General features: G+C 38.5%; 1 annotated feature.

Moving 5' to 3' along the window:
- Positions 10,033-10,233: a silencer, noted in NCBI's record as "peak7093 fragment used in MPRA reporter construct". NCBI's record gives its function as "represses an SCP1 promoter by STARR-seq MPRAs in K562 erythroleukemia cells {active_cell/tissue: K562}" and the evidence as "EXISTENCE:reporter gene assay evidence [ECO:0000049][PMID:32103011]".

Genomic DNA, 13,972 nt, shown 5'->3' with positions numbered 1-13,972 from the left:
GTTCAAGCAATTCTCCTGCCTCAGCCTCCTGAGTAGCTGGGATTACAGGCGCCCACCACCATGCCCAGCTAATTTTTGTATTTTTAGTAGAGCCGGGGTTTCACCATGTTGGTCAGGCTGGTCTCGAACCCCTGACCTCGTGATCCACTGGCCTCAGCCTCCCAAAGTGCTGGGATTACAGGCATGAGCCACTGCACCCGGCCAAAACATATCTGTTCTTTACTCCAGAAAGAAAAAGAAGACCCACTAAAAAATCTTGCTTTTGTAAAGATAAAATATTTTCAGTATTTTGTATCAAATTTGAGAAAAGAAAGTCTTAATGTAGAAGGCCAAATATGAGAGAATGTTGAGTTATTCTTGGTAATGAGGGGAGGCAGACAAGAATCATGCCAGCACTGAATACCAAATTACACAAGAAAATTTGACTATAAAAACATGAACAGAGCAGCCACCTGAATTATAATTTTTGCAGCATTTGGCATTTTTGAGACATTCATGGTGGCTTACATGGAAACACATCATGAAATACTTCTAATAAGATTTTAAGCCTACTTTACCTGAAGTTAGGATTAAACATTACCTTGTCAGTTTAATATTAACCAAATTTGCCTGGTGTGGTGGCTCACACCTGTAATCCCAGCACTTTGGGAGGCTGAGACAGGTGGATCACTGAAGGTCAGGAGTTTGAGACCAACCTGGGAAACATGGTAAAACTTTGTCTCTACTAATAATACAAAAAATTAGCTAGGCATAGTGGTGGGCACCTGTAATCTCAGCTACTCAGGAGGCTGAGGCAGAAGAATCACTTGAACCTGGGAGGCAGAGGTTGCAGTGAGCTGAGATCACACCACTGCACTCCAGCTTGGACAACAGAACAAGAATCTGTCTAAAAATATATATACGTATTGAAGTTATCTATTTTTCCCTGGTTCATTAAATAAACAACTAATTTTACTCTTAAAAATCAAGTCTTCTTATGACTGTGACATGTTTTCAGAAAAAAAAATTAAGTCTTAAGTCTTCACTCGTGAAAGACTATTTTGGGGGAATCTTTATTTAGAAATTATTGTCTTCTCATTGTTAAAATATTTACAGAATGTCTAATCGAGACTTTCACATAGTGGGTGCCTCCTAAATTTTGATGACTGAATGAATCAGGGATAATTTGAATATTAAAACCAATTAAATTACAATAATAACAGAAAAAGATTAGTATGCAAAGGTTGAAGTTCAGTTTCATTCTAGAGATAAGAAAACATTTTGTGAGAGATTCTTCAAATGCACTCTAAATTTCAGTGGCCATTTATTTATTTATTTATTTATTTTTGAGATAAGAGTTTTGCTCTTGTCACCTGGGCTAGAGTGCAGTGGTGCAATCTAGGCTCACTGCAACCTCTGCCTCCCGGGTTCAAGTGATTCTCCTGCCTCAGCCTCCCAAGTAGCTGGGATTATAGGCACCCACCACCACCGCCAGCTAATTTTTTTTTTTTTTGTATTTTTAGTAGAGATGAGGTTTCACCATGTTGGCCAGTCTGGTCTCGAACTCCTGACCTCAGGTGATCTGCCTGCCTCAGTCTCCCAAAGTGCAAGGATTACAGGTGTGAGCTACTGTGCCTGGCCATTTATTAATACACTCCCACACTTTAGATATTCTGTGCTCTTCACTCCAAGTAGAATCTGAAAATAACAGAAATATGAGATTTTTGAAATATTATACATAAAAAACTCCCTCTCCAATTATTGTTATGCTGTATGTTTTTATTTTTGGCTGGGTCAACCTATGTAAGACAAATTATCTGGCGAAACAGGTTCTTATCTATTTGATCCTAGTTGCTTCTAACAACTGATAGCACAAAACTGAAAGTGGGTGAGCCACATCTGTTGTTATTTTTTGAACCAATTTCATCTATATTTTGGCTTCGTTGTAAACTTTGTGCTCAAAATTCATAGGATCTCTCTAAACTCCATGTTCAGTATACATATTTGTGATGGTTAATACTGAGTGTCAACTTGATTTGATTGAAGGATGCAAAGTATTGACCCTGGGTGTGTCTATGAAGAGATTAACATTCCAGTCAGTGGGCTGGGAAAGGCAGACCCACCCTTAATCTGGGTGGGCGCCATCTAATCAGCTGCCAGTGCAGCCAGAATAAAAAGCAGGCAGAAGAACGTGAAAAGACTAGACTGGCTTAGCCTCCCAGCCTACATCTTTCCCCCATGCTGGCTGCTTCCTGCCCTTGAACATCAAACTCCAAGTTCTTCAGCTTTGGGACTCTGACTGGCTTCCTTGCTCCTCTGCTTGCAGACAGACTATTGTGGGACCTTATGATCACATGAGTTAATACTTCTTAATAAACTCCCCTTTATATATATATTTATCCTATTAGTTCTGTCCTTCTAGAGAACCCTGACTGATATAGTATGTATGTAATTTCTTAAATTGCGATTGCCAGTAGAAAAAAAAATAAAAATAAAATCAATGAATTAAAATACTGGTTGATCACAACAACAAACTGAAGTTTCAAGTAAACACTGAGGACTGTTTTATGGATACTATTATCTTCAGTTCTAATTCTAATTGTTCACCAACTGTGGTCCATTAAATTCAGGTTCTGGATGTGCATAGTGAACTAAGGGTCTTGCTGTATATTGTATACTCTGCTTCTGTAATATAATTGCAATTGCAACAGAAACATCTCTCCCTAGGTTTATTATGTAGTAAATGTACCCATGCAAAAGCATGATGGAAAAAGAGTGGGTTAAATGTAAAATCGAGGTCTTAATGGTGCAATTGAAGACAAGGTCCTGCCATTGTTTTCCTGAAATATTTTGTGCACTTCTTTTGTTTTCTTTATTTCAATTTTTCTGTTTGTTAAGGGGCAGTTATATTCAAACACTTTCTAGTTAATACATTAGTTGTAAGGATTAATGGACCCTCATAAGTTGCAAAGAGAAAGACATATCTATTGGCAAAAAGAACTGATGGAATCAAATAGATAAGAAGCCAAGTATGTTTCTGAGTGAGTGATTATGTTGATAAAACCCAGCAGGGACTAAAAGAGACTGTGGCTTCTTGAGGCTTGGGCCCCTAAACTTTCCTGAGTGAAAAGCAGCCTGGGACTGCACCTTGGCTCCCAATGAGACCATGATCTCCAACATTCTTTTCAGATGTAGCCAAAGAGGATAATGGAAAAGGAAGGCTTCTCAGAGGGCAAAGCTAAGCCCTATGGAGAAGAACGAACTGTACAGGCATTGCTGGGGGTGAGTTCAGAGAATTATCAAGGAACATCCCCCAGCCTCAGGGAAACAGTGGCCTCTTACAACTTCCCAGTGGGATTTCAAACTTTTACAGGCCATGACTATTGTATGTCCTGGTCTTCCCTCTTCCAAATGCAAATACTTACTGCATTTATCCTGAGCCTGCTCAGTCACTGTATATTGGATGTGCATGGAGTTAATAACGGATATAGTTTGGATATGTGTCCCCACCGAAATCTCATGTTGAATTGTAATCCTCAGTGTTAGACGTGGGGCCTGGTTGGAGGTGATTGGATCATGGGAGTGGATTTATCACGAATGGCTTAACGCCATCTCCTTGGTGCTGTTCTCATGATAGGGAGTGAGTTCTTGTGAGATCTGGCTGTTTAAAAGTGTGTGGCACCTTCCCTGTCTTTCTTGCTCCCACTTTTGCCAGGTGATGTGACTGCTCCCCCTTTGCCTTCTGCCGTGACTGGAAGCTTCCTGAGGCCTCCCTGAAGTAGATGCCACTATGCTTCCTGTACAGCCTGCAGAACCGGGAACAAACTAAACATCTTTTCTTACAAATTACCCAGTCTCAGGTATTTTTTAATAGCAATGCAAGAACAGTCTAACACTAAAATTTATTCACAGGTCTCTAGACCAATGTAAAGACCATCACAAAACCCCACTCTTCATTGAGCTTGGTGCCATGAATAATAGGGTTATCTCCTAATGGGGGTAGGTAAGTGTGTTCTGTATGTGGGCACTGAAGAGAAGTATTTGTAATATGTGCTATCCTTCCCTGGAAGCAGATTATACTTTCCCAACCTATTGATGTCAGGCTTATACATGTGACTTGCTCTGGCCAATGAAAGAAGTGACATGAAGAGAACCACAGCTGAAGCTGACCCTGAAGGGCATAAAGCACAAGCAAGAAATAAACACTTGAGTCACTTGCTATAGCAGTATAGTTGGCTATCCTGAAAATATATACTAATTATGGTATTTAGTAAACATGTATTGAATTATTGCCATACGCCAGACACTTGAGGTGCAAAGTGGTCCAAGGAAAGAACAATTGCAGCAGAGCAAAAGGGCAACCAGTTATTCCCTGCCTAAGTGCAAAATATGTGCTGAGAGTTCAGGATATGGAACTAGAAAAATAAATGCATTTATATTGTTAAGTATCAATCATATATACAATTGTGTGTGCGTGTATTTCATATATAGAATATCTGCTTAGCTGTATCAGAAGTTCACTCTTTAGACTTGTAATAAAGCTTCATTGCACCATTTAAAAAACAAGAAAAAGACATGCAAAAGCATCCCTAGAGCAGCAGGCAAGCCTGGCTGCTTTTGTTGCTGCTATTTTCAGCTTGCCCTGCTTCTGTCAGACTGGGTCAGCGCTGAATGCCAGGGGCAAGATGGCGTCCTTGGCAGGAGCAAGGCCATGTGGTAGAGAGGTTTAAAAAAGAATCCATGCCTGAAGGACTAAGAGGATGTGTAATGAAGTAATTCTTACTTCGGAAGCAATTGTGTTGTGAATTTTAAAATGTCAAAAGTCTTTGAATTGAGGAGATACCACAAATGCCCTTGATCAACTGAAATAAGAACAATCGGCCGCCTCGGCCCTTCTTTCAAAGCATTTTAGCCTGGGCACCGTAGTGCTGATGGTGCATACTCCATAAAGGTCAGTGCTCACTAGATCTTTATTTGGAAAGATTATCTAAGCATCAAAATGTCTTACATTTCAATTTAAGTGACAAGGTCAGAAGGAAATCCTGAACTACAGATTAAAGGAATGCCTCAGAAGGATAAAACATAATAATTTTGATTCTTGGGTTAGCAGAATCATTTCCAGAATTCATTAATTCACATTTCCAGAATTGTGAATTAATGGTGATACATTCTTCTAAAAAAGCATTGCTTTTTGTTTGTTTGTTTGTTCCTTAAGGTTTTGCTAAGGAATCGGGAGGATTATTATATAGTTTCTTGAATCTAGGTGAAGGGTGAAAGATGTAATCTGATATCCTCAAACAGAGTCTTCCTAGATTTAGTACTGGCCAGGGTCTGCTGATAAAGTTCCAAGGGCAATTCCAGATGGTGGAAGTTAGACTCAATTATTGCCCGTACTCCTAGTTTGTACACCGACTTCTCCAGAATTGGTCATCACCATATCATATATATGCCTAATCAGCTTTTTTAAAAATTATTATTTTCAATGCTCTTTTACAGTATTGTCCTGGAACAGGTTATATTTCATGTACCTCCAAAGATAGGCCTCAGATCACCTGGCAGGTCTTAACACGTAAGTCTGAAGTCTGAATTTTGCATGTCCAAACTGCATAAACACCAGGCAATTGTTTATTTCTTGCCTCTGGTTCTGGAAAAGCCAAGTCTTTTTTAATAGGCCTCCATTTGAGAGCCCAAGCTGCAGACTCCAATTGTGATCTCTCTGTGTACTGGAACATTGAAGTGCTTCTCCCACAAAAAGGTCATAACCAGCCCCTCTTCAAATTGTCCCCTTCTTTTGATCAGTTTTCGCAGAAGGTCCCTCCCCTTGTAATTATAATCCCATTCATTCATGTGTTTGTTTGTTAATTCACTGGGAACAAATCAGTTTATACCAAACTGGTTTCCTTCAAGCAAGTTTTCTTCTTTCCACGCTGCTTTTGCTCTGCTTTCTGTCTCTGTCTCTTGAGGTTTGTCCCAGCCCACCAATGCTGTTTATCATGCTACTGAAACTTCCTAGGACTCTGGGGCTTTTCCTAGCTTGATCCATACTTTTTAGTCTCAGGTAACTATTCATTTTTTTCATTCATCTTTCTTAATAATTTGACTGGGACATCCTAAGAAGACAGGAGTCTTTCATTTGTTCTTCATTTTAAATCAAGGCTCTTTTCCTTTTTAATGGATTTTAAAAGGAATCTTCCCTTGATTCATCCTGGGTTTCTTCTAGCTTTGGCTTCTGCTTCCAGTGTTTATCTGGCTAATTGTCCTAGCCTTTCAATTCATTTTGATTTCGTTCTGTCTGAAACTATAAAAATTGGTTGAAGGAGTCATGTAATTTTACTTTAATTTCCTTGTGGACAGGGTGAGGTGGCTCGCACCACCTATAATCCCAGTACTTTGGGAAGCCAAGGCAGGGGCATCCTTTGAGTCTAGGAGATCAAAGATACAATGAGCCATGATTGCACCACTACACTCCAGCCAGGGCAACAGAGTGAGAACCCATGTAAAAAAAATAAAAAATAAAAAATGTCTTTGTGCATGAATTGACTATCTGCTTGTGCATGAAGCTTTTATTTTCTCCAGTGGACCACACACCATACCTTGGTTACATACAATTCATATTTTATCATATTTTTAGTAATTATATTATTGTTGTTCCCCTTTCTTGAGCACATAATCACATGCCAGACCTATGCCGAGTACTTTGTAAATATTTATCTGTGTTTTCCTTGGAATACAATAAATAAGCCATGAAGATACCTGTTACAAATTGAGATCAATGTACAAATACATTTCAAGGGTTTTCCTTATTATATTCATTTCTTAGCTACTTAAGTACGCTGAAAAATTCCAATTTTCTAACCTACTTAACCAGAATTTCCCCCAAATTAATACGTATTGACATTTCACAAAACCAGTTTTTTTGTGGTATACACTTTGTCAATGGCAACCTTGTGTCCATTTTTTATTATAGGAAACCAGGAAGGTAGATGCCAGCATCCTCATTTATAGATATATGGATAATTTCAAAATGATTAAGATCCTTGTTCAGTTGTTCAAGTAGTGAAATACACAGTTAGGAATCAAATGTTGAGCTGTCTGACCCCAAGGCCCATGTTCTTAATTCCTCTGTTATTTTTACTTCAACATTTCTAATGTTACAGAAAACTTATTTTCAGCCAGTGATATTTTTCTGCCATTTAGCTTTCTGAATTCCCACAAACTGATCAATTTGGCATGCACTATTTGGATTTGAAGGAAGATAAGATTTGCAATGCTTTGTGATCTCCTTAGCCAGATTTTCCTTTCACCAGCACACTTTTGTGACATTTATCCATTTTGATAACTCAATTCAGTGGTGTTCTGGAGCAATCTCATCCTGGCTCCTGAGAACCAGTTGTAAAATTTCCAGGAATTTTCTGAGCCAGTTGATAAACACAGCCTTAACTCAAAATTAAGCTATATAAACCTACAATTAAATGTTATATTAAAAACAAACAATAAATGCTTCAAACTCATCAATTCCTAATTATTTTACTTGTTCCTATGTGCTTGAGTGTTTTTTACGTCCATTGTGGCTGTTTGGTAGAAATGCTATGTAATTGGTAGAAATGCTATATAAAAATGTGCTCAGCACATCTCTTTCCATAATACTGACAACTTGAAATTGACCATGGTGGGAGTATTTATACCACAAAAAAAAAAAAATGCAAACTTCACAGATCACAGCTTGATTTATTGTTTTGTTGATTGTCTAAACCTGTACCTTCCTAGATGGTAGCACCTAGGCACATGTGGCTATCAAGCACTTGAAATATGACTAATACAAATTAAGATGTGTTAGAAGTATAAAATACGCATCAGATTTTGAAGACACTATGGAGAAAGACAGTAAAATATCTCTAATAATTTGTATATCTACTACAGCTTGAAATTATACTATTTTGAATATATTTGTTCAAATAAGATATATTATCAAGATTAATTTTAATCTGTTTATTTTTTAAGTAGTTACCAGAAATTTATACATATATGGCTCACATTATATTTCTGTTGGACAGTGGCCTAGACTTTAAAAAGTGATGATGGAGAAAAATGTTAGCAATACAGATTAAACTTAAAAGTATGTTTTCCTTTACTCATTACATTGTGAATACTGCTCGCACGCGCGCGCGCGCGCACACACACACACACACACACACACACACACACACACACAGAGAAATAATCTTCCAGTATTTAAAGACTGTTATCTGGTTTAGCAAAGAAGTAGCAAAAACTACACTTATGTATAAATTGCAAATGTAGATTTACTATGTATGGATGTATTTTGGCAAATATCAGTGAAAGCATCTGGTGAGGGTCAATTGGCTACATGTAATTTATAGTAAAAAGAACTTTGTAGTTTATTATTGTTTGTAAATTTTGTTTGATACATCCTTTATATCAGTAACATTTATAATGTACATATATATAGACATGTACATTTTTTTCTGAAAGCAAGTTATTAAACATTTACCAGCACACCACTGGCTCAACTCCAGCCCTTTTATCAGCTGCGTTTGTCCATCAACTCTTCATTCCTGTAAAATTAGCATCTTACAACACATCTTTGCATATCACATTGGCAAAATAACTATGGTCAGAAATTGAAGAACATACAATTAAAACATATAAAAATAAGAAAATAAAGTTGATCCATATCGAAATGCAGAAAAAAGACTGATTAGAGCTTTAAAATCTCAAGTTAATTTTTATGGTAAGTCAACTGTGTTCAATATAGAAAAGTAAGAAATCAAAGTTAATAAAATCTCTTCTCTGACTATTTAAATTCAACAAATGTCTTTCCAAAAATAGAATTTAAACAACTTAAATTTACTTAGGTGATATTTGACACTTGCTGTTTTTTGACAAGGGCTGTGGTTGTTGTTTAGTTTTAGCTCAGAATCAGGTCTTTCTCTATGTTTACCTAAGCCCGCTTCATTAAGTTTGAGACAGCCCATCTGTGAGAGATTGTAGTCACTCTCAGAGTGCTTCATTAATTAAATTATTGCACAAAAAGTGTAGAACCACCACTGTTACAAGTGCTGTGATGAGTGGCCTACCCTCCAAAGTAAGAGAAGCCTGCTCTGAGGCTGTGGAAGTGTGAGGTGTGAAGCCCTAGGGAGAAGGAGGAAAGGATGTTAAGATGCCTTCTGGGTGCAGAAAGCAGCAGGGGAACATGCCCTGTCGGGGGAGGGAGCACTGCAAATAAAAGGGACTGAAAGAGGCTTTTGAGCATAGAACAAAGAAAATGAGAAGGAAGTTGCTTCAAGATAAGGCCAGAGAGGTAAGACGGCTCAGATCTACATGTAAACATGCTAACAGTATTCTATTTTACCTTGGGAGGTGTTAAAAGCGAACTAAATATGACCTGAGAAGGACTCTGTACTTCTATATTGGAGTCCTTGTGGACAAACTGCAACCTAGCTTAATAGGTAGACAAGATTGAAAACCTAACTTAGGAGTATGCGCCTGTGACAATAGCTGGGTCTTGGCAAATCCCAGCGCTGTACTTCAACCAGTCATACACTGCTGAGTGTTCAAACCGTGTTCAAATAAGGCAAACGCCAGCCTGTAACCAATCCAGCTGCTCTGTACCTCACTTCCCAATTTCTGTACGTTATTTACCTTTTTTGTCTATAAATATTCTTCCACCATGTGGCTGCACTGGAGTCTCTGAATCTGCTGTTTCTGGGGGCTGCCCAATTTGTGAACTGTTCGTTGCTCAGTTAAGCTCCTTTAAGTTTAATTCGGCTGAAGTTTTTCTTTCATCAGAGAGATGGGAAGCCATTGAGGTGGTAGTGGTAGACGGGAGGGCAGCAGCGTTGATGGACATGGATGAGAGCAGGTGTGCATTCTACAAGGTCAATGCTAGCTACGGAAAAAACAATTGGGCGGGAGGAATACAGTATGGAGAGAGGAGGATCCATTCTAGGAAGCTATTCTCAGGTAGGTGAGAGAATACAGTACTTTGGAATGGAGAAATAGTAATGGAGAAGGAAAAAGTGGGTAAGTGTGAGAAACTTACAGAATGCAAAATCGCCAGGATTTTATGTAATCTCTACTGAAGACAAACACCGTGCTTCTCACAGAATAAAAAAGAAGCCATTGGCCAGGCCTTGCTAGGGCATGTGCAGTCAGCTATTTTTTCTCGCAGTTGGAGGGAATTTGTGCTGATCAAAAAAATATTTGTTGTGTTTCCATCTAGATCTAGAAGAAAGGATCTGAGTGACAGGCTTAGGTGCGTTGTCTGCGTCCCAGGAACAGAGCAAAGCACACTGGCTCAGGCATGAGGAAGCCACACCCCAATCCTGCCTTTCAGGTGCCAATGGAGAACAACCCCTTCAGCGGAACCATGGTGCTTTACATCTCTCTCTGAACTCTCAGATCTCCTAAGTGGAGATGGCTGATTAAGGCTCTTATCTTTCACGTTCTAAAATCAATTTAGTGTTGTTCGGAGCCAGCAATGTTAAAATATATTTGTATTTTGAAACAAAGTTAACATAGAGAAATGAAAAATAAAATGTTGAGAATTTTACATTTAATTGCAGATATAATTCTGTGTTCTGTATGTTACTTAGTTTTCTATCTTAAATAGTTTGAAGGTAAACACTTCTTTTACTTTTTTTTTTTTTTTTTTTTTTTTTTTTTTTTTTTTTTTTTTTTTTTTTTTTGAGACGGAGTTTTGCTCTGTTGCCAGGCTGGAGTGCAGTGGCGCGATCTCAGCTCACTGCAACCTTGGCCTCCCGGGTCAAGTGATTCTCCTGCCTCAGTCTGCCGAGTAGCTGGGACTGCAGGCGCGCGCCAGCACGCCCCGCAATTTTTTTGTATTTTAGTAGAGACAGGGTTTCACCATGTTGACCAGGATGGTCTCCATCTCCTGACCTCATGCTCCGCCAGTCTCGACCTCCCAAAGTGCTGGGATTACAGGCCTGAACCACCGTGCCCGGCGTACTTTTTTTTTTTTAATTGGGAATATTCTCAACTAAAAAAAATTAACAGCATTCACCATTTTCCTCATTCTTGGATGTCTGTTAAATCTCTCTCTCTCTCCTGGTGAAATAGATTTTCCGATATTTCTATCTGCTGTAAAAATTCAAAAAAACCAGATTGGGCAACAGAGTGAGACCTTGACTCTTAACACAAAAATGTTAAAAATTGGCCAGGCGTGGTGGTGCATGCCTATAGTCCCAGCTACTCAGGAGGCTGAGGAGAGAGGATTGCTTGAGCCCAGGAGTTCGAGGCTGCAGTGAGCTATGATTGCACCACTATACCCTAGCCTGGGCAGCAGAACAAGCACCTATCTCAAAAAAAATTCTTCAGAAAAAATATGTAAGGCCGGGCACGGTGGCTCACGCCTGTAATCCCAGCACTTTGGGAGGCTGAGGCTGGCGGATCACGAGGTCAGGAGATCAAGACCATCCTGGCTAACACGGTGAAACCCCGTCTCTACTAAAAAAATACAAAAAATTAGCCGGACGTGGTGGCGGGCGCCTGTAGTCTCAGCTACTCAGGAGGCTGAGGCAGGAGAATGGCGTGAACCCGGGAGGCGGAGCTTGCAGTGAGCCGAGATGCTGCCACTGTACTACAGCCTGGGTGACAGAGCAAGACTCTGTCTCACATAAAAAAAAAAAAAAAAAAAAAATGTATACATGTGTTTGCATAGAGACTACCAAGATATGACAAGTTACTCAATTTTAAAGCCTTCAAAAATCAATCGTGCAACAGAACTCTATAGGTTTCCATTAAAGTGATATCTAATACTGTCAAACAAAGAGAAATATTGATGACATTTTTTTAGTTTACTTAAATCTGATTTTTCCCCACATTGAAAGTCATCCATTTTGTTCTATTTAATTAGAACGTGATGGGCAAAAGTGTTAACCTATATGTTGTAGGAAGGCAAGGCCCAGCTGTGCTGTTGTATGTCAGGGAGCTTATAGAGCAGCTCTAAAGAGGGCAGTCATTTGGGCACTAATGGAACAGGAAACAGGAAATAGAGCCTTCGCTATCTCAGTGGACATAGATAATGATACCTGTATTTTATCTTTTTACAACAAGGCAAGAAACAAGATGGTCAATAATCACTGCAACAGAATATAATTATAGAATAGTTTTACTTGTAATGCATATTGTCAAAAATCTCATTCTAGAGGCCTTCTACAGATAATTAAGGTCATAGCAGCTATTGACAAAGAGGTCATAGCAGCTATTTTACTATGATGTAATGGATGCCTTAGAAACCTGGATGAAATAAGGGTCTCTGGAACCAAGAAGGTACATTTCCACACTCATTATTAAAGGTGATGTGATTACTTTGGTAAGTTTCCAGACTTTTTCTAAGGTAATAATGATATTGAGAGAGGTGACATTTTTGATTAGTTGCTAAATGCCATGTCTTCTTCTTAAGACTTTGCACGCTTTATCTTATTCAGTCTTCACAACAAGTTTGTGAGATGAGTCACATTACTAACCTCCTTTTAGGTAAGAAAATGGGGTACAGAAACAGTAAGTTGCAGAGTTAGCATCAGATCCCAAAGATAAGGGAAGTAAATGGCATGTTTTCTATTAGTTGAACCAATTGCTTATAAATATGTTGTGAAGTTGCGAAATACACACAAGTTGTGAAAAAGACATCATGCAAATTTCAGCATTTTGTAAAAAGATGTCCTTTTGTTGGCAATTATATAAATCTATTCACGCATGTTTCATCATTGTTGTGCATCTTGTGTGTGTGTGGCTCTTGCTGAATTGCTGGACTCTGAGGAACTGCTCACTCTTATATAACTTCACTATATAGGATTACACTTCAGACTACAGGCTTTGCAGTTTATATCATCCCAGTATTCAGTGAGGAAAATATTCAAAAGAAACACATAGAAATGCATCCTTTAATTTGCCCCTGTTCATTCACAAAGGAAAGTAAATTGTCTTCCAAAACCTGGATGACAGACAACAGTTAAGAGGCAATAACACAGATCCAGGAAGGTTAGAGAGCACTGAGTCACAAGTTTAAACAACTCAGCATCATTCTTAGAAAGCGTGATTGTGACCAACCTAGAAACCTGTATAAATAATCCTTTGCTCACTTTACTAAGAGGTGTAACTGAAGTCAGAAGCTCTGTAAATAAGAGCGCTTTTTTGTTCTGTGCCATGCACTGCCTATTGTGGATAGAGTTGTATAAAACCTCATGTGTTGTTTCCCACTTATCCTGTTAACAGATAGTTCCATTTATTCTCATTAAGAAAAAAAAATCTATAGCTAAATTCAGATGAACAAGTTGAACAAGTTAAAACTAAATTTTAACCATTGATATATCCTAACTGAATCCTAACCATTGATATATCTCCTAAAGAAGATGGATTGCCCTCTTATGTAAAGGGACTGGTTATATAATCTGTCTTAACCTCTTGAGTGAAGTGAAGGCCCTGCTCTCTTAATCTCACACTCTGCCTGTAGCATATTTCTTCCGTTTCTTTTGTGCTCCTTTGCTAAGCAATGCCAATTTAATAAAACCCATCTTAGTCGATACGCTAACACTTGATAGCATTTCAAGAGATTTTTAAAAGCTTTCATTGTATGATCACTTATCTACCAATAAGGTGCACACACATGCACACTCGCGTGCTCTGTGAACATACAAGTTCCATAACATCCCCATGAGAAACAGTATGGTGGAGTGATTAAGAAAAGGGCTCTGGAGGAAAACTTTCTGGGTGTGAATACTGCGACTCACTTTGTAACCTTGGTCAAGCCTTTTAAACCCTTTGAGTCTCAGTTTTCTTATATTTAAAGTTTTGCAAAACCAGTAAAGACAATACTAGATGATTTTAACCAGCATGTTTCAAGCATTTAAAATATGCCAGGCATTGTTCTAATCACATACATTAAATCATTAAGCCCTCACTACAACCCTAAGGAGCAGGTATTATTATTATTATTATCCCGTTTTAAATA

The sequence above is a fragment of the Homo sapiens genome, chromosome 8 (genome assembly GCF_000001405.40).
Source record: "Homo sapiens chromosome 8, GRCh38.p14 Primary Assembly".
Classification (NCBI taxonomy): Eukaryota; Metazoa; Chordata; class Mammalia; order Primates; family Hominidae; genus Homo; species Homo sapiens.
Note: the sequence above shows the minus strand (reverse complement) of the source record. Positions and strands in the feature narration are given on the sequence as shown.